Raw genomic sequence first — 22,240 nt, forward strand, 5'->3', positions numbered from 1 at the left:
ATACCAAGCTTTCTTAAGTGTCGGAGACTTTGCATGTGTTTCGTCTTTTACCTGGATGCCCTTACTCTATATCATCTAGCAAGTTGCTGAGTTGTTTATGTGAATATGTGTGTTGCATACTTTGAGTCCTCAGTAAACTGAAAATTTCTCCCAGGACAGTGCTAGCTACATAGTCATGGGATATCACCATTAAAAAAATACTACTCCTAGTTCAGGATGTGTGCAAAACCAAGGGATGCCTGAGAAAAATGTAATGAATGTGAACTTAGCATGTATTTCGTGTGGAGGTCCTAGAATCCCTTCAGTAATGTCTCTGTGGCTCATGAGTGATTATTTGGTTAACACTTCATATAAGCCTTTCAGTGGGCAATTTTACATTTGCTGGCATCTCTACCAATGAGCACACAATGGAAATGACATTCCAAAAAGCTATTTTGGTCACCTACTGTAAGCTCTAATCAGATAAATGTTAGAAGGAGTAATTAAATTGAAGTCTCTATATGGTCTGTTTTATGTAGGGAAGGGAGAGATGCACGTAGTCACGTCTACATGTTAGATGTTGAACTAAGCATTACCCTTCACAACAAATTTGTTTGTAAATTTATAATAATCCTCCCTTTATAGACAAGAGAACTGTACTCACAGATACCCAAGAGACTGGGGAAAGTCATCCAGCTAATAGGTGACAAATCTGAAATTTCAATGTAGGTGTCTTTATATCCTTTCATCTATTATACCTATGTTGTCTGATTTTGGAGTACATATGTATGGAGATTTTTGTCTTTATAAGCAAAAGTCACTTCAGACATTTCTTTTTCTGTGAAGAGTAGAAACATTTTATTGCGTTTTTCCAATAAAAGACAATGTTACCCACTGCATAAATTAGTTTGTTTCTCTCACTATCCGAGTTTTAGAAAACAACATTAAGGAAAATGTGTTTTTAAATCTTCCTAGTGATCCTTTAGGCCTTCAATAGCACAGAGAAGAGTAATACATCGCCTACCACTTAGTGGGGGAGTTATTTAATGCTAATATCTATTTGTCAGATGGGTCCCCTGACCAATGGTGATACAAGGGGAAAACAAAATCTGGGGGTTAAAAGCAAGGATTTCCCTAAACCCTTGCTTCCCCCTCCTTTCCACTACCCACTCTTTTCCCATGCCCCACTTCCAGGAAACTGGGACAGCTGGTTATCCATCTCATTTCCCTAACAGTTGCATGCTGACTCTGTCACCAAGCTGTGCATTTGCTAGAACAGTCGCTTTTCTTCATAAGACTGATGAAAAGAAAGCAGAAGTACTATGCATTGTTTTTCTTAAGGTTCATCATGCTGTGTGTGTGTGTGTGTGTGTGTGTGTGTGTGTGTGTGTGTGTGTGTCCCCTAAGTCGGGGGAAACTATTAGGAGACAGCCAGATTTCTTTAATGAGCCTAGAGGTAATGCAAAATTCATGTGCTTTCACCTGCAGCTGGGTAAAGCCTGGTGCACAAACAGAAAAGGGGGTGGCAGGAAGGGTCTGTTATTTATGATTTTGTTGAAACAGGTACCCTGGCTGCTACTGGGCATCCTGACCCACTTGTTCATTTTTTTAGGAAGAAGTAGATACTTTCAGTGGGAGCGACTCAAGCATCAGATTTGCTCCTTGGAGCATTAATAAAAGGGCTCAGTTAGCTTCATCTCATTATTTTACTATGAGTATTGACTTTGGCCTAGAGTCATGTATAGATAAAATGGTGCAAGGGCTTGTCCTAAGTGATTACTCAGAATTACAAATCATTTCACGTGTAACTGAATACTGCAGTCTAGCTGGCACCCTGCCCCTTGCTTCTCCCCCTCCCCTTTCTCTAATAGGAGCGCAAATCCAGCTTTGTCTGAAGAGGCAATTAATCTTATTCACTGAAAGCTGAATTTTAATTCAGCAGCATGTGGAGGACATATTTGCCTATCACACAGAATTAGTTTAACAGGGAATTTAGAAAAAAAATATTGGAGGTCTTGGCATTCTTGGACAGGGAAAATATCTCATAGACATTCCTTTATTAGCCATCTACATACTTGCATATAAGCTTCTTTTTGTAAAAATAACTCTATTAGGGTAAACTGGATTTATTTTGTAAGTGGCTGATTACATTTTGTTTTATGTTGAAAACAAGATATGTGTGTTTTGGACAAAAATGAACATAAGGTAAGAAAGATAAATTTTAGTTTTCTAGTGATTCTAAAAGGCTATTATTTTTAAGGGCACAGCTTAGAGATGATCAGAAAAATAAAGGGACACATAAAAATCCTAGACAGCCCACATATATCCAAATCAAATCATAGAGAAGGGTAAGTGTTCAGGTACAAAGTTGACAGGTCTACCAGTTCTGCATTGCAGACTATCATGTGAAATCTGTTAGGCAAATACTATGTTTCCCTAGTGTTTCTGCTGTGCTGTATTTTAACAATTTTCCCCTGAGCAAGACCCCAGCGTTTTGTCTGAGGTTTGTTTCACATGTAGACAAAGTGTAAAAAAAAAAAAAAAAAAAAACACTTCCTGAAGCAGTTTCTTAGTTCAAGAGATTTGGACAAGAATTTGATTTAATGCATGTCCATGCTTAGTTAGATATCAAATTCCCATAAGGTCAGAAAATACATTTCCTCCTGATTCATGCTTGTATTTAACACAGCACTCCTCAAATGCTACGTTATAGTACAGGCAGATATCAAACCATGTAACTGTGTCCTTTCCAGTGACAGAGAGAATTTAATAAAAAACAAGAGTGCAGATGATCTTGTATGCCAAGTAATTATTAGTGCAGCATAAATCTCAAGAGTTACTCTAAGAGAGTTAAAAGGTGCTATTAGCTTTTCTGTGGCTCCTTCTCCAGTCATGATTGCCTAATACTCCTGGAATTAACCCTCAAACATGATTGCTTCCTTTGCTTCTTCCAGGAATGCACGATTGAATACTTAATAATGAGATGAGGACACAGGGAACCATGGGATGTTTTTCAAAATTTGTCCCAACGTTCTGAGAGTCTTTTTGCTGTTTATAGGTGTGGAATGTGAGTGGGGGTGTGTGGGGGAATCTATCAGATTAAATGTGCCTAATGGTCACCAAATGTCATGGCGTAACAGTTTAAGCACAGGGCTATAAAGTCACAAAGCTTTATTGCCTTGTCAAACCATTTGCAGTGCTAAATCTGGCAATTATTATTAAAGGAAACAATTTAAAAATTCAAGTTTTCATATTATTACCAAGAAAAAAAATCACTGTGTTTAGTGTCGGTGCCCTAAAGATACATTTTTGGAGTCTCTGCGTAAACTTCACATTAACTATATAATATTTGCAATTTAAATTTCACAGAATTGGAATTTGGATATGTGAAAGCCCGGGAACACATATTTGCAAATACACACTTGCAAATGTCCCAAGATATGAGTGAGGCATTGAAATGTATGGCAGTGTTCACCCATTATTTATTTACTTAATTTTTGTAAGCTCCACCACTATATGAGGTGCCTGTGTATATTTTGAGAGAAAATGGCTTTTGTGATTTGTTTGCCTATTTTATAGTCAGATTTTCAGTGCTGTTACCATTTGACCTGGAAAAAAAAATCAAAGGTAAGGGGAAACAGATGAAAAGGCAGAGCTTTCAATGTTTTTTGTTGTTGTTGTTGCTTCTCAAAGCATGAGAAATGTTCTATCTCCATTCTTCTTCGCAGACATCACATTAAACACACACCATGTAGTGGAGATGCTGGATGATATTCAACCAGCTCCTCTCTCTCTCAGCTATTCAGGTTCATCAGTGTTGTCCTTTCTATTACAAAAGTGAAGAAGCCCTTCATCAGTACCTGAATTTGCATGGAGGGCAAGTTTGTCCTATAACCTAAGAATCCAGTTTTCCTTCAAAAGATGTGAGATTCTGCTCAGAATTCTTGATGAGGCCCCAAATAAATAGGTATATTTTCATGTACAATTATTCTTTCCAAGCCTCTAAGATTTCGTCTGAATTGTCCTGATCATTCCCAGAGTCTGTCTATTGGTGGTCTGCTTGTCAAGGTAAAATTAATTGAGGTTTTTATGAATGCAAAATAAGGTCACCACAATCATGGCTATGCTCCAAGCACAATCTTATGAGGCAGATCCTATTATATCCATTTAAAGCTGAGAAACAGAGGCCCTATTTTATGTATGTTATATAATGGGTTCAATATAGAGGAGATATGATTTGAACAAAAACCTTTTGACTTCAGAGCCTATGCTTTAAACTACTTTGCCATTTTGCCTTTTTATATGCTACAAAGAAAAACCATTTCCATGGTTTAAGAAATTAAAGTGACCAAAATGGAAAGCATAAAGAGAACTAAAGTCAGGAGAGGGATTTGTTTCCATGTCTTAAAATAAAAATCTCTAGATCTCATCTTTGTTATAGTAGATGTAACAAAGTAGCCTTCCTGTCAAGCAGTCCTAGGAGTACCTTTTCAGGGCCTAAGATTGGTATCGGCCTTTTGCAGAATCAAACCAGATTCCTGGGTTCACAGGTGTGGAGCAGGAAGTGCTTGTTAAATTTGTTTTGAGAAATGTTAGGATGTTTTAGGTTGCAATTAATTAGAAGACTACAAATATCTCAAACAGTATGTGTTGTTTTAATTTTTTTGTGTGTCACATAATAAGAAGTTTGAAGGTCAGTATCTCAGGGTTGAATAATGCCGTATTTCAACTGCATCGCCTAAGGTCTAAATTCTATTCCTTTTCCTGTTCTGCCATTCTCAACATGACAACTATTATTGTTGTTGGTCTTGAAAAGGCCACTCAGCTCCAGGTATCACATCTCCATATGCCAACACTAGAGACAGAAACTGCAACTGCTTTTATCTTGTGTATTTTTGCTAAATAAAAAAATCTTTCCTAGAAGTAATTGTCTCTAGAATATTTCTCCTCACATATCATATATTGTCATCCCAAACTTGATCACATGTTCATCCTGAGACCAACCACTGGTAAGGGGAATGGGAAAATGAGGCAAGGGCAGAGACATTATTTTCCCTAGAAAAATTGCTTGAAAAATAATGATGAACTTAGACACATTAATGATGATTTACCAGAGTCTGATTGGCTGGGTAGGCCCCATAACAAAACCACATCTCTGCTATCACGGTACTCACAGGGAATGAGCTCCACTTGGTGTCCCACACACCATCCCAGTGCTGCAGAAACAGGAAGAAACAAAGCACATGGGAGGCAGGAGCAGAGCTCCTTTCCTTTTCCAGTGTCCCTCCAGCATCCTCTACTAACAAAGATTAACCTCATGCCCACTGGCAAGGAAGGAATGTTCCAGGATCACAAGCAGGCAATGAAGGCTGGCTTCGGAGATGAAAGGCAATAAGTTGATAATTGGCACGGCTGGCTTGCCTGTCAAATCCTAACTCTTTAGTAAGAACCTTCTGAGATGCTGACAACATAAGCATCCAAGAAGGCTCTATGAAAAGAAAGCCTAACATACAAAAATTTAACCAGAGAATTTATTTCAGATGTTATGTTGCGGGTACTGAGAGCAATAGCAATTTTTTGAACTCGAAGAAATAGATTACAAGCCACTATGGTATTTAGATACATTTAGATAGTTTTTATTTAGAAAAAAAGAATATTAGATGAGAAAATGAGGCAAGGGCGGAGGAATTATTTTCCCTAGAAAAATTGCTTGAAAAATAAATTGGAGAAAGGAAAAGAGGGAATATCATCGCATTCTGGGTATTTCCTTTGAGAGTCTATATCCTGAGGAGTATCCCAACTCTTATTCCCTTGTAGTGCATCTGTGGAGATAGGAAGAGTGGACAATAAGCTAGGGTCTGCCATCTATTCCTTCATTCATCTACTTAGCAAATATTTATCAGGTGCTTTCATATGTCATGAGCTGTGGTGGGCGTAGGAATGAGAGTGAGGAAAGAATAGCAGTAAACAAGTCATGAAAATGAATAAGATTCTACATAAACTTGTAGGTCTTTGTCCTGGACAAGTCAGGAAGGCTCTCCCAAGATCAGTGAACTGTAATGCACTAATATACATGACTTTTTTTAGGAGATCCAACTGGAAATAGAGGAAAGGGATTCATGTTGTCTGCTAACATTCCAGGGTCCATAACTGAATGTCATTAGGGAGGAGCTGCCTAGGGGGAAAAGGCCCCCATCATTTTTACTTTCTACCCTTTCTTAGAAGATCTTCAATCCATAAAAGGATTGCAGAGACAGTTCCCTTTTTAGGTGCCTACGACTGTTATCAGTCATATGGAAACTCAATCATGGAAGGAAGGCAAATCCTGCTAGATTTTCTGAGCAGAGTCATATTTATATCTGAAAGACTTAATGTTAAAAATATTTCCATGTAATAAACTTCTGACTTCTGATGAGGACCAGTAAAGCTACTGTTTATCCTATCAATTCTCTGAACCATTTAAAAATATAAAACACCCAAATTTATATATCCAAATGAGTACTGAAAAAATATTTTCAGAGGCCCTGAAGACTTCAGAGAATTTCCCAATTTTTTTTTTGAGTAGTAACTGTATTGTTGGAATAAGAAGAATGCCTCCTTGCAGGATCATTTTAAATACTCCTCTGTATAATTACTTAAAAAGTGATTGACTTGATTTACACGTTAGAATGATATCTCATATAAAAGAATTCATTTCCCTCTATATCAGTACCTGCTTAATGATCCAGTAGACAGTGGTTAGAATAAAACTTGGATGCTCAGCAATTTGAGGAAATCTGGAGAAACACAAAATCTACCCTGCTGCCATTTGCAGTTCACAAAAATCAAAAGGAAAGTGCGAAGAGAGAACGGGAGAAAAATGGGGAGAGGAGTAAAAGAGATGAAGACGAAGAAGCAGAAGCAGAAAAAAATGAAAAGGAACATATATTATTTTGGAAATCTCAACAGGTCACTATAAAAGTTATGAAGATAACTACAGAAGAAAAGTCTAGATATCAGTATGAAGAGATAAGATATCGATATGAATAGATAATGCAGTAGGCACCCTTGAACTGGAACTGCTGACAATAGGATTTAGAATGACATCGTACTCATTGGGAAATTGCATTGCTTCTACTTACTTCATAAAATATATGCCTTTGGGGATTCTGGTTAACACAGTTTGGTTGATGATTATGTTGTTTTAACATCCTGTGGTGAAATCAATCTGGCAAAGTTGCCACACTAAAGGACAGGTCCTAAGGGAAATTTACCAAAAGAAAGAAAGCTGTCTACTCTCTACTCATTTCTACCTGGTGGCTGTCTTAGTCTGGTTGGGCTGCTGTAACAGAATACCATGAACAGCATGGCTTATAAACACCAGAAATTCATTTCTCACAGTTCTAGAGGCTGAGAAGTCTAAGATCCAGGCACCAGCACAGTAAATGTCTAGTGAGAGTCCACATTCTGGTTAATAAATGGTGTATCTCGCTGTACTGTCACCAAACAGAAGAGACCAGGGGTCTGTCTCAGGCTTCTTTTATGAAGGCACTAGTCCATTCATGAGGGCTCCATCCTCACAGCCTAATTGCCTGCAAAGGCCCCACCTCCTGCTACCATCACCTTGGGGATAGAATTCTAACATATAAAATTTAGTAGGGGGTGTTAGGTGGGTACAAATATTCAGACCATGACAGTGGTCCTATTGAGAACATGAGTGGAAACACTTCAAGAGCTTATCATGTGTTAATATCGTTGAAATGCACTGAACATTCAACTAAATGATGCTTAATACTTATTATTAATTTTAAATATCATTATGGAGCTGATTACTAGGTTAGATATACTGAATAATGCAAAGATGAATAAGATATAAAACCTACTTCCAAGGATCTTATATTCTGGTATGTCAAATAAATATTTAGGTTTCCATAAAAGGGGAAAAAAATCAAAAGCTATGTTTCTATGATTATTAGATAGTCAGTGGGTCTTGGAGATTATTCTTCTTTTAATTTAAAATTTTGACTACGGCTTATAACTTACCAATATGTGATTTACTAATATGACTTACTAACTCAAGCCCATAGAATTTCTTGAGTTTTTTTGGCACTGGTTATAACATAGTCTCAACTAAGACTGGGGTAACAAGAAGTTGGGGGTGGATATGGGAAAGAGTCACAATGCAAAAGCGATTTTTTTTTTTTTTTTTTTTGAGATGGAGTCTCACTCTGTCACCCAGGCTGGAGTGCAGTGGCACAATCTCGGCTCACTGCAACCTCCGCCTCCCAGGTTCAAGTGATTCTCCTACCTCAGCCTCCCGAGCAGCTGGGACTACAGGCATGTGCCACTGCACCCAGCTAATTTTTTGTATTTTTAGTAGAGACGGGGTTTCACCATCTTAGCCAGGATGGTCTCGATCTCCTGGCTTCATGACCCGCCTGTGTTGGCCTCCCAAAGTGCTGGGATTACAGGCGGCCTAAGGGATATTTTTTAAGCAATTCAATTTGACATTTTTTTTTTAGCCTTATCCATTAGGTACTAGTACTAAATCAGGAATGTTAGTCATGCTAACCAGTGAATCATGAGATATTGGTGATAGGTATTTTGAAGGATTCTTGGGTGAAAATGTGCACCCAGATGATCTGAATTAGACCATGTAGCTATGGATCCTATTGTCCAGGAGGGTATCACCTACCTTTTTCTTTGGCTCAGGTTATGAACTCATGAGAGCTTTGATTCCTAGAAGCAGAGGGAAAAAACAAGCAACCCTTAAAAAGAATTAAAAGAGTTATTGAAGATGACTTCTTTATAGCTCTTTGAGATGAGAGAATGCATATTCACAAGTTGCTTGTAAATGCATTTTTAAACAGGTTAGAAAATCTGACATAAATAGCAGATCCCTAGTAATGCATCTATTCAGCGTTTTTGAACAATGGCATTTTCTTCAATATTAGTTTGGAATATCAAATACAAATGATATAGGTATGGGGCATTAATTCTGAACCCTGAACATTGTATAGTTCTAGTGATGAGAAAAATTATTAACTATATTCAGAAGGGGGAAATCTACGTAAACAAATTTCAAATAACGCACAGAAAAACACAAAAGTGTTATCAACAAAAGTTTAAAGAAAATAGTAAAATAAAAAGCGCCTCCAAATAATCTGTCTCTGTTTTATTTTTTCTCTTTGCCTTTCTCCATTTCCTTAGAACAAGGTCCAGTGTGATTTAAACCCTGAGTACATTTCCTCTTGTTTTTGTAGGTTATAAACATAGATTAATACGGTATGTTTAGCAAATATAGCTGATTTTGGTTAATTATTTTATAGTTCTACTTTTTAAGGAGATTGTATTTTGTGGTAATTTCTGGTCTTTAAGAATATTGATTGAAGATGAGTCTTTATGAGGAAATCAATATTTCATTCATATGAAATGAATGGGATTCAAACATAGGATATACCTGCGGATGGTCTATAGTAATTATCTCATTCGTGTATATTGAATTAATTAAGTCATAATAAAAACAAAAAAACAAAGCTCAATCCAAATAAAGAATTGTCTACTTGATAAAGGAAATATAAGCTTTTATGTAAGTGGCTGTTCCTCAATTACGTAGATGAGTCCAAATCTGTTCTGTAACGCAGGAACTAGACAATGGAAAAGCATGTTTCTTTTCTTTTGTATTTGACATTTTGAGTTAATTAGCCCCACCTGGCTGAATTATAGCTAAATGAAAGGGAATTCTGAAAATTTTCTGTTAGTTTCATGTTTGAAGTAAACACCCTGAACCTTTTAAAAATGTTATGATTTTCTCTTAAAAGCTCACTAATATAACTACAACTAATAAAAGCATAATGTATATTACTAGGTCTGAACTCTTGGCCATGGGTATCTGTGCATTTTAGAGATGGTGTCTGCACAAGTGTCATAAATGACCATTTTATAGATAGATAATGTTCTTAATCCATAATTCTTTATTGCTGATGGTTATTGCATTAGATGATGACCCTTAGCTATTAAGAGTCAGTTTTTAATATCACAACCATTTAGAAAGGTTAATGGACTTGGTTTTGCGATTTAACCTTTGGATGCTGCAGGTTGAGAGGTTATATTTGTGCACTACACTGCCAGAAAATATCTACTTATTTTCATTTATCTATGCACTTTGAGTAGTGTGGTTTTGTACAGTAACTGTTATTTACAAAGCAAAGGGAAAGAAACAGTGTGTCCACATAACAAGTTTCTAGAGCAGTGAGATTCTTCTAAAATATACATTTCATATTTGGCTTCTATTATTTTTCATTTAGACATAAGAATTGAAATGTGAACAGATGTAACCTAAATCAGTTGAGGAATATTTATTATGGCTGCTTTAAAAAAATAGACCAAGATTATAATTCATAGTTTTCTTGGCTTGTTTGGAAAGTTCACATGCATTGTAATGAGACACTGGTCATTTAGGAAAGACACAAATCCCTTACAGATGATACCTGTCTGCACTCTAGAATTTTCCAAGGAATAAAAATAGGGTCTCTCTGGTTTCAGTTAATCCCATTTCAGAAATCTAATTACGGTTCCATGGTGGCTATTTGTCATTTATTTGGCCACCCATTATCCATTATTCTTCCAAATATCACCTTATTCTCTTTTATTCCATTCATTCATTTTGAATAGGTTTTAGGGGAGAAAAATTCCAGGCACTTCCCCTTTGTTATGGAAGCTAGAAGCTGAGTGTTTAAATATAATGACCCCCAGTGAATCATGGCTTCTGTAACCATGCTGTTGTGGCTCCCCTGTACATTGACTCTGGGCTTGACTGTGTGACTTGTTTTGGCTGACGGGACATAAGCAAACATGATGTGAGCAGAGGCTTGAAAAGAGCTTGCACATTGGGGGTGCCCTCTGTTGCTGGCTGCTTTTAGAACCCAGCTAACCATGTGAAAATACCTAGGCCGTGAGGCATGATGAGAGATCCATAACCCAGTGGCTTTCCTGTATATCTAATCATCAGACATGGGAATGAGGCCATCCAGCCCTAGTCAGTCCTCTGCTGATCTACTGGTCTCCATTTCCCGTTATCTAACCTCTCATCAACTCTCCCAGCTTCTTGACAGTTTTTCAAGAAATAGCCTTTTACTAATTTAGGTAGAATTGGTCTCTTATGCAAGCAAGAACCCTAAATAATATAGATTCCTAAATTGAAAATGCAAAGGAATTACTTAAGAATAACACAAACCACCATGAACATGCTTACACAAGGGGGAAGTCAAATCATGAGTGGATTATATGAAGATTGATTTAGTTTGGTTATCAAATATCCTTTGCCATGGAGTGATTGATGGAACGTTATGAGCCAGAGGGTGATATCAACTTAGCGACCACTGGGTAGGGATCTGAGTTTCTATCTCTCATCGACTTATATGTATTTCATGAAGCTCAATCTAGAAGTTATGCAAAGAGCAGTGTCCTCAATTAAAGACTTCGTGTACTGTGCAGCATTCTCCTTTTACTTCTGTGTTCTCTTGTCCTTTTTTTGTGTTCATTTTTTCCTCTCACCCCCATGTTTCTACCTTCTGTGCCCCACAGTGTCATGAGATTCTGCTCCTGAAAATTGCAACATCCCAAGTGCCTCCCAACGTTGTCTCTAAGGTTTCTGAATGCTGTTGCTTTCTTCTCACACCTCTGAGCTCATCACCTGCTTTGCGCTATTGAAAATTTCCCCTAGGCCGAGCGCGGTGGCTCATGCCTGTAATGCCAGCACTTTGGAAGGCCGAGGCAGGTGGACCATGAGGTCAGGAGTTCGAGACCAGCCTGGCCAATATGGTGAAACCCTGTCTCTACTAATAATACAAAAAAGCCGGGCGTGGTGGCGGGTGCCTGTAGTCCCAGGTACTCGGGAGACTGAGGCAGAAGAATCGCTTGAACCCGGGAGGCAGACGTTGCAGTGAGCCGAGATCACGCTACTGCACTCCAGCCTGGGTGACAGAGCGAGACTGCATCTAAAAAAAAAAAAGACAAAGAAGAAAAAGAAAAGAAAATTTCCCCTAAGTGCCACATACCCTCCACTTTTTTTACTGATGGATTTGTCCTGGTGAAGGCTCTGTTTATTCTCCTTCCAGCAAGAGCAAGGGCTTCTTTTCAGGCAAAATACTAGCGAGACAACCCTTCACTTCAAAATAGTTCTGGTAACTTAGATTTAAAGAATCACCCAAATGAAACCAAAACTCAGAGTTTGAGGTTATCCAAGTACCCAACCCCAGAGTCACAGCGTTTTTATTAGTATTAACTCATCACTGATACAATGTGTGAATTACCCTAAAAGATATTGTGCTTTTTATTTCAGCCATAGCTCTTTTCACAGGCTGAACTGCACAATAATTATTGGTAAATGTTTCTGTTTTCACCACTTGAAGTTCAGAGGCCATATCTTATCACTGCACTCTTCAATTTTTTTTTTTTTTTTTTTTTTTTTGAAACAAAGTCTTGCTTTGTCGCCCAGGCTGGAGTGCAGTGGCGCAATCTCGGCTCACTGCAAGCTCCGCCTCCCGGGTTCACGCCATTCTCCTGCCTCAGCCTCCCGAGTAGCTGGGACTACAGTCGCCCGCCACCACGCCCGGCTAATTTTTTGCATTTTTAGTAGAGACGGGGTTTCACCGTGTTAGCCAGGATGGTCTCGATCTCCTGACCTTGTGATCCGCCCGCCTCGGCCTCCCAAAGTGCTGGGATTACAGGCGTGAGCCACCGCGCCTGGCCACTGCTTCAAATCTTTAGTTATAACCTGGTGTTGCTGGGCTGCCAACCTGTGGCATGCGTGGGTGTATGTATTTCATAATGAGAAGATCATGGCTCTCAAAGACATCTATTGCCACAAAGAGGTAATCATGACACAGGGGATGTTCAGTCAATGTTCATTGACTTGAAGTTAAAGTAATTCTCCAAGATTGGAGAATTGCTCTTCATTCTGGAGCAAAGAAACCTACAGTTTGTGATAGCATATAACCACTTCTGTAGTAAAAGAAAAAGAGTGAATTTCCCTTTTGATAAACAGACTTTCAGTCACAAGAGATGAGGGGCCATGAGATGACATAGAAGTGGGATATGAAATCTAAAGTCCAATAGAAAAAGGGGCCTTGGAGGTTAAGTAACATTTCCCTTTTTTTCCCCAGCATCACTCCACCAAAGCTATCACAATCTATTCCAAGAGTGTAAATTTGGTATTTTGTACATTAGAAGGTACATTCAACTGACAATACTAGGAAATCCATTTTTACAACTTAACAATTTCTGTCAACTTTTAAAAAATGTTTTCAGTATCCATTTCCTGGGAGACTCATAAAGTTGTCTTTCCCGAGTGTTCTTGGTTTCTGCTGTTTGTTCATTCTTTAACTATTTTTTCCTTCCATTTCAAGGAAGACTGTGGCCATTTTCTCACCCTCTTTGGCTTTGGCTGTGATGTTAGGTGATTCAATATAATTAGGTGAGATGTTTATAGGCCCTCAAAGGCTAAGAAAATAATAAATGTGGCAGTTCAAATAATGGCAATCATAGCAGGTCAAGCAAAAAAAAAAATCCTTTGGACTGGGATTGACAAACTCTAACGTTATCAGAGCTTGGAAATGCATCACATTTTCTTTTTCTCTCTCTTGTTTTTGGCTTTCTTGCTTGCTTTTCTGTATTGCATGGGGATATTTGCATTCTGTCTCACCTGTTGCTGATTTTTAAAAATTTTCAATGCACAGATTCTGCTTACTATGAAATACTCACATATTATTGCAAAATGAATCCTTGTCTTTGAGATTATATTCATTCTAGACTTTCAAAAATATATCCATTTCTGATTACTCTTTTATAAACCAAGTCATCACAAATTTCTTTGATATACTTTTTTCTTCTGATTTTAAAAGTAATATTAAATATTTATTGTAGAAAATTAGGAAACTACAGAAAAGCCCAAATAAGACAAAATTTTTTCTCATCCATTATTTATTTTCCTTGTGATAACACTGCTACCCTTTTGTTTTCTATCCTTCCAGTCTTTTTCTTAATGACTAGATATATACATGTATATGACATTTATACAACTGGAATCATGCTTTTCTGAATAAATAATATGAAATGCAAATTTCTTGACAATGAAAATAAGGATTTACAACAATTCAAGTAGTAAGATTTCAAGAGTAATCCTTTTTATAATTAAAATGTGACAGAAATCCATGAAATTTTGATAGTGTGGATCGAAGAACAAATGCTCTTCAGGTATGAATAGCTCTCACAAATTTGATAGGTGGGAACTATAAAAAATGTAACTACAACATATATTAAAATAAGAAGGATTTCAGATGGCCCCATGAGGAATGTCCTACAGTGAATTTTGATATTTGGTTATTTTCCAGGTGGCTTTTGGGCTGCTCTTTTCTCAATCCTCTTCTAGCATTCTGTCCATCACGAAACTCAGTTGTTACATACAACTGGTCGAAGTAAGCAGAAAAAAAAAAGCTCACATCATTTTCCTTTTATTTCTTTTTCCTTTTTTAAAAGCACAGTTTTATTCATTTTTCCCATCAACACTTGGAAATGTGGCTTCTGAAAGATAACGAGGCATGGTCCGTAGCATGCCATAACCTCTCTTTTTCTCCCCGCTCACTGCTAACTCTTTTGTTTGTACAATATTCTTTTATTCTGAGCAGTATAACGTTTTAGTTCTCATAATAAATGCCTTCATGTGAAGCAGTTCAGCTAAGAGAATGTTATTAGACTGTGCTCCCAGGCAGCACACCTCCTCACGATCAATACAAAGCTGGGCCTCAGCTCATTCCCTCTTTGCTTAAATTCCCTGCAAATGTGCAAGAGAAGCAGCAGTGGGTGTCATCAATCACAGGCCACTGTGACATATGCTGAAACCTGACCAGGGCCGAGATGTTTTAATAAGGCATCCATTAAAACCCTCAAATAAATTGCAATTTGAAAACAGAACATAATACCAGCCAAGTTTTCCTCATCCATCTTGTGGCATGTCATGTAATGTAATTGCATTGTTAATTTATCCAAGAACTTTCTCAGTACAGTGTTTTGTTGGCGCTGCTTAATTTCCCTGTAGACTATTTGTGTGTGTGTGTGTGTGTGTGTGTGTGTGTGTGTGTGTATGTGCATGTGTGAGACAGAGGGGGAAAAGAGAAAGAGTCTGTGTTTATTTCTGTATGTTTGTGTGTCCGTTTGTTCCTTGGAGGAAATAGTCATGTTCTGCTTATCATGGCATTAGCCAGAGAGCTAGTCAGAAATTTGAAATGTTTGACATTTTATCGATGGCCCCTGAGCATCTCAATGTTGCCTCACCAAGCCTGGCCTACAGCAGGACCACCTCCTCTCCCTGCTCAACTTGCCATTGGTTTATGCCTCTCCAGAGTGGGATCACTCAGAGTGCCTGTGGATCCCATCAATAAATATTGACAAAAGTGTTTAGGGGTCATTTAAGATCACCACATAATGACACTCAAAACAGGTCAGTACTGATTTTGGTTCCCTAGCTCTTGGGTCATATGTGAGAAGTTTTGACAAGGGTAAGAAAAGTCAGAAGTTATAAATCAATAGGAGAGAATGAAAAAGTATTTCTCTGGAATAATGGCAAAGTGATTAAATTGAAGAAAAAAATATATATATTTAAAAGCTTGGTGGGAAGATACAGGCAGGCAAGGGCTCATATAGATTTTTTTGTCTTCTAAGCATAAATCTAAAAATAACTAATGCAATTCTTCATGTGGGGCTGCCTCAGCAGATTCTTCACCTTTATTTATTCTTCTGTGTTTTCTTGATCAATCTGTTCTCTTGTTTTCTATAGAAGAAGCCAATGGGAGGCAGAGGGTAAATCTACCCATACGTTCCATCTCTATCTAGGATGTCACAGTAACCATGATGCCAATTAAATATTGGTTTAAACCTGTCAAATGTATTTTCTAGGTCTACTCTTTTGAAATAATAGTCTGTTGAACGAATGGCAGAGGAGAGAAGACAGCATGACAAAAGAGAAAAATCTAACATAAATCTATTTGTGTTGCTACTATTTTATTAATTAAGAACAGAAATTATTATTTGGGATCTAGCAAAAAAAGACAATTAAATGCAAAGTGTACTAGTCAATAAATTAACAGCCACTCTCTCGGTAGGTCCTTATATCTAAAATATGTTATAAATCGGCTGGAAGAACTTGGTGACATTCTAATGTGCCACCTGGATACAAACCATTCTTGTCTAAGGCTCCCACTTAACTCTATGCAAACTATTAGATGATCGCGGAGTATAAAAGGTGCCAGGGAAAGACAAATTAGTTTCTGCTTTCTGCTAATGGATGACCTTTGTGATTTGGATCAGGTGCTGAAATTCACTTAGTCGGAAAGGCAGGAGAGTGGGGGAAACTTCTAAAATAATTTTCTCTTCCTACAGAGAAGACGCCTGGCTACCACCTGCCCAATAAATGTCAATTGGTTTACTTTTAAAAAAATAAAGAGCCTGATTCAGAAGTATTAGAAGCTGGGTTGAGAGGTGCAACGGAGAAGGAGTGAATTCACCAAGAATATAAAGCCAAAAAAGACAAAACTAAAAACCATTGAAAATTAGATATAAGAATGGTTAGTGCTTTCCTAGGAGAGTTTTGTTAACATCTCTCTATTCTACATAGACTCTTGAAGATTTATTGAAATTTGAGCTGACTTAGGCTTAGTAGAAATCATGTTTGATTTCTTATCATTGAAAATATTTTGAGGTTTAGCTGAAATTTGTTTGGAATTGGGAGTGTAATACCCCAAGCAACATTCAAGGGATCAGAACCAACAGGAACTGGAATATACAAAAACACTGTTTCTCTAGCTCCACGTGAGCCTGAGTTGCCAGCTTTCACATGTTTCTAATGTTAGCTCAAGCTTTCTGGCAGTCCCATTGTGAGCTCCATCTCCCAAGCATTCTCAGCTATTTTGGCATTTTTATGTTGGCCTTGCTTCTTTTTATTTCCTTGTCCAGAAATATAGTTATTTAAAAAACAGTATAATTATTATTGGATGTGTGTGTTTTTTTTAAGTTTCAGCTTGAGATGAATTCTTTCTTGCATTGATATTTAGCTACTATCCTTGAAATGCATGGAAGGAATAGGACATTAAAGACAGAGGACATGGACCTTTAATTCCTCTTGTGTATTGCAAGGGCAAGAATGAAATGTCAGTTCCCAAGGTGATTATATAGTGAATGTTGGCAAGAATGAAATAATTGTGTCCTACCCAGGGTGTGAGAAATGTATACATGGGGAGATAAAATTGTAAGGGGACGGACAATATAGGGTGAGCACATGTAGAGCACAAAATAATTCAATTGGGTGGATGACATAGGTCTTCGGCCTTTGTGGAAATCAGTGAACTGCTGTTTCTGTGTCTTTTTCAAAGCACAGGGACGTTGAAAGGACAAAGCCTTGACTCTCTGATCCACTGAGGCTGGCTCCAGTTAACCCTAGGATATTTTTAAGAAAGTTGATTTGTTTTCCTTTTGATCTCCTTTTTCTCTCAGCTTGCTTGAGCTGATTTACAATTCCTGCATCTATTGCTGCCTTTAGCTATGTGCACCATTATTCTGCCACCCTTTTTGTAATTAAATTCTGCTTGAAATGCTTATAGGCCTAACCTCCCTCCTTAACTTCAATCTGTGATCTCCTCTTTCTAAGTTAGTAAAATTGTATCATGCACACCATGAATAACCTTTCCTGGATGCTAAAATACCTGGGTTTTAATTCTATTTGAGTTTCATCTTTGTACAAAATTCCCTGCAAACTTGCATGTGAATTTAAAGCCTGATCCATAAAAATCTTCTAGCAATATGATTCTCATTTCAGAAGCCTGGCGAGATGAAGCCATGTGTTATGTTATAAACACCCCAACAAAAGAACTGTGATCTTATCATGTTATTTTTTTTTCCCAACGTAGTTTTGTAAATGTTGTTGATTCTGCCTCACCATTTGGAGTCTCTTGCATGTGTTACTCTTCCAAATTCTGGGGTTTAAACTTCCCTAGAGCCTCATAAGTTCTGGGTTTCTTAAAGCAATAGGTTACCCTCACCCCTACCCGACACTCTCCCCACTCTTCCAAAAACAATCCCCATACAAAGGTGCCAATAAACTAACTCAGCCACATACAATGATATTGTCAAGAAAATCTCAGGAGAAAACCATTTAAATTTCATGGCATAAATCTGAGCTCTTGGCCAAACTTCCCCTAACAAGTGGAGAGCACAAGTCTCATGCTAATTCTCCACCAAACCTCCAGTTTTATGAAAGCTACATTTTATCTGTTTGGTTATTTGCAGTCACTCGAGAGTTGGAAAAGGAATATTAGCACTACTCACATTTTATTGTGAAAGTCGCAGTACTTGGTTGACCCCCTTTTCAGGCCCTATTGAATTTCCTATACAAAGGAAATGAAAATGTTTTATATTTAATACAGCAGCACATAACGAGAGGCTTAGTTATTACACAGAGAGCTACAATTTTCTGCTTTTGTTTCAGCTATTGCTGTAGAGCTGAAATTTCCAAGCACATTTTTTATGATTTGTTTATTGCTGGCTTTAGAGATGACACTGAGAGGGAATGCCACCTTTATGCTACCTACTCTACAGAAAGAGGCTTTCTGTTTCTTCTTATTTATCCTGCAAAAGCGTGGTCCAGCTTTTTACTGATGTCCCAGTTTCTTGCAGACAAATTTTAAAAATCCTAAAGAAAAAAGTAACCCAGCGGAAATCATAGAGTGAACATACAGCTAGCTGTTTCCTGAATTTACTCTCAGGTCCTCTGATATTACAATGGTCAAAGAGAGCTCCGGGCTCTTAGCATGTGCCAGTCACTGGGGCTAAATATGTTACCTTTATTATTTAATCATTACAACAATGACAGTTAAATAACACCTAGCTATTCTTGTTATTGTTATTATTACCCTGTTTCTATAGATGAGAAAACTGAGGCTTAGAGAGATTCTCTAATTTGCCCAATGTTCCCTAGCTAATAAACAGGTGATCCAACTTAGATTAGAACCAAATTCTGTCTGATTCTGGAACCTGCTCCTCCACCTTTTTTTTGACAATAATAGTCATTACCACAATATTCTGTGTTAATTATTTTTCAGCGTACTTTTCTTGCTTCTTCTTTATTCTAAATTTAAATTTATTTTCTTTTTAAAAGTAGCGCAACAAACGCATATATACCCTTCAGCTAGATTCATCAATTTTGTTGTGTTTTCCTTTCTGTTTCTCTACACACACACATACACATACACATGTTCATATATACATATATGAGATATGTATTCACCTATGTGTGTCTGTATGTGTATTTATTTTTCAAATTATTTTCGCTAAGCCATCTAAAAGTAAGTTATAGCCTTTATAATGATATACCCCTAAAAATAAGAGGATTCTCACATTTAACCACAATCCATTGCCATACCATACTATAAAAATAAGCATTCATTCATGTGGTCATCTAAGATACAGTCCATATGCAAATTTCCCAGGTGGCTCCCAAAATGACGTTCATAAGTTTTATTAATTTATTTTTGATTCAGGATCCATCCAGGAAAGAGCCTGCCCACTTGACTCTTCTACCTGTAGCCTCTCCAGAATACTGGATGTAAAAGGAGATCTTCACGGGTTAAAAAAGTTAAGTAAAAACCTTGCGCCTATGTGAAGGTATTATATTGATTTACATAACACTGTAGAAGGTCTATACATGCTAAACCTCTTTTCATTGTGACATTCTTGGAGCCTGTTATTCTTTTACTTCAGCTATCTAAAGAATGGAATCGTGGAATAGTTCTGTGATTTTCTAAGCCATTCTACAGTTACTTAGTCTTGGAATTAGTAATGGCTATCGCATTCAGCCTGATTCTATCTTCCTGCTGCTGAAGTGAGTCTAAACTGGCCTCAGCAAATAGGTTCTTGAACAGGTATCTCCTGACACTGTAGAATTCAAAAAGCCATTTTTGAGGGAGGGAGAAGAAAAGGGGAGAGAAACAGGATTAAGAAACCAGAAACAGCAAAGAACTGGAGAGAGGATGTGAGGGCGAAGAGAAAGTGTTAGAATCTGCTTAAATTTATAATCCCAACAACATAGTAACAACAGCCAGAATATATTGGGTGCTTAGCATGCCTTATTAAATAATGAGGGTTTTCAATGTATCTTTTTCTGTTAATCCTTACAACAGTTTTCCAAAATAGGTAAATATTACCCCCTCCCCATTTTATAAAAGAATTATTGAGTCTTATACAGGATAAGTATCCTGTCCATGGTTGCCTAGCAGCCGTGCTCAAACCCAAGCTATAGGAGGGAGGAAAGGAGTAGAGCTAAGGATGGTGAGTGGCCATCCTCTGCTCCTAGTGTGCCCCTTTCTTCCCACAAGTTATTAGTCACCATGCCAGTCGTCAAGGATCTTCTTTGTTCTCCATGTTCACTACCACTGCTTTGGTTTAAGCCAACTCCATCTCTAAGCGAGATGCCTGCAATATCTTTTCACAGATCTTTCTGCCACCAGCCTCTCCCTCTTCCAGTCTCTACACAGTGGTCTTTCTAAACACGCCACCCCCTTGTTTGAAATACTTGGATGATTGTCCATGACTTAGACCACGGCTTCTTAACCCTGCCTGCCCATGAAAAACACCTGGAGAGCTTTCCAAAACACAGGTGGCCAGGCCACACCTCAGAGATTCTATTCCCTTGTTCTGATGGAATAGGGTGGCCAGAAAAAAATACAGGATATCCAGTTAAATTTGGATTTCAAAGAAATGATAAATACTTTGTATTGTAAGTATGTCCCAAATATTGCACTGGGCATACTTGACTAAAATAATTGTTTATCTAAAATTCAAATTTAACTGTGTGTCCTATATTTGCATTTGCAAAATCTGTCTATGTGTTGGTACGTGTTGCAGGGAGATGATCATGAGTATTTTCTAAATCTCCCCAGGTAACTCATGTGTACATCTAGAGTTGAAACCACTGATTGTAGGAAAAATGATAAATGACATAGACTCTAAACTCCTTATCATGGCAAAAAAGGACCTTCAGAGTTTGGCCTCTGCCCCCTTTTCAATCTCACCTTCTCTTTCTCTCCACACCCTAAACTACCTGCTATGCATTTTACACTTTCTTATGTCCTTGTCTTTGCATATGCTTTCTCCCAAGCCTGGGATCTCCTTTCTGGTCTGTTGGATGAACTGCCACTCATCCTTTAAGACCCAGATACATTGGCTATCTGCTTTTTCTAGCAATTTATTAGGCCCTTTACATTAAATATTTCAAATTCTTGTTATTAAGGTGTAATCACTTGCTAATTTGTTAATTCAAATTAATAACAACTAAGTTTGTTAGTTGTATTAAAATAGAAACTTTCCAACAAATGTCAAACACAAATTTTGAACAAATCAATATGTATTACATTTTTAACTTTAGCATGTATTAAAATCTTAATATATATTAAATACAGCATATACTAAAATTGATTTTTATATTTTTGCCATTATTTTTTTCTCTTCCTCTTACCCATGAGCCAGTTGAACAAAATAAAAGAAAGCAGAACAAAATAGCTAAGACAAACACTTGCCTCCATGAGTTTAACATCTAAACAGATGTTTATATTTTTAATCTCTGTTACAACTTTCTACACTACAGTTTTTCTCATATTTCAGATGCGTCCTGTATTAATTTATGTGAAGCTCTGTTAAATCTAATTAAAATGTTGCCATATTTTGTATTATGCATTTTTATATAATTTCTTTATATCTAGGCCAGGCATGGTGGTTCATGCCTGTAATCCCAGCAACTTGGGAGACCGAGGCAGGAGGATCGCTTGAGTCTAGGAGTTTGAATCCAGCCTGGGCAATATAGCAAGACCCTGTCTCCACGAAAAAATAAATAAATAAATAATTTCTTCATTTCTAACAATGTTAACATGTCTTATTGTAAAAGTCCATTAATTCGGAGTCTATGGATGGTAGTAGGTTATGATTTGGTTGGAGATTATGTTGAGGCTACTTTTCATTCTCAGTGTTTGTCTTAGTCTGTTTGAGCTGCTCTAACAAAATACTATAAACTGAATGACTTATAAGCAACATAAGTTTATTTCTTACAGTTCTACAGGCTAGGAAGTCCAAGATCAAGGCACCAGTGTTAGAGGCGTTCAAACCAGAGTGACTCCATCTTGAGTGAGGGCTAGGAAAATGAGGCTGGGACTTGCTAGGCTGCACTCCCAGAAAGGTATTC

General features: G+C 37.5%; 1 long non-coding RNA gene across 1 annotated transcript in view; it reads left to right on the top strand.

Moving 5' to 3' along the window:
- LOC105370766 (uncharacterized) overlaps positions 1-19,796 on the top strand; it is a 56,276-nt gene extending 36,480 nt beyond the window's left edge. Inside the window, exon 3 of the long non-coding RNA XR_001751478.1 lies at positions 19,548-19,796. This is a non-coding gene — a long non-coding RNA (uncharacterized LOC105370766). The remainder of the gene's footprint in view (positions 1-19,547) is intronic.
- The last annotated feature ends 2,444 nt before the right edge of the window (positions 19,797-22,240 follow it).

Source organism: Homo sapiens, chromosome 15 (genome assembly GCF_000001405.40).
Source record: "Homo sapiens chromosome 15, GRCh38.p14 Primary Assembly".
In the NCBI taxonomy this organism is placed as follows: domain Eukaryota; kingdom Metazoa; phylum Chordata; class Mammalia; order Primates; family Hominidae; genus Homo; species Homo sapiens.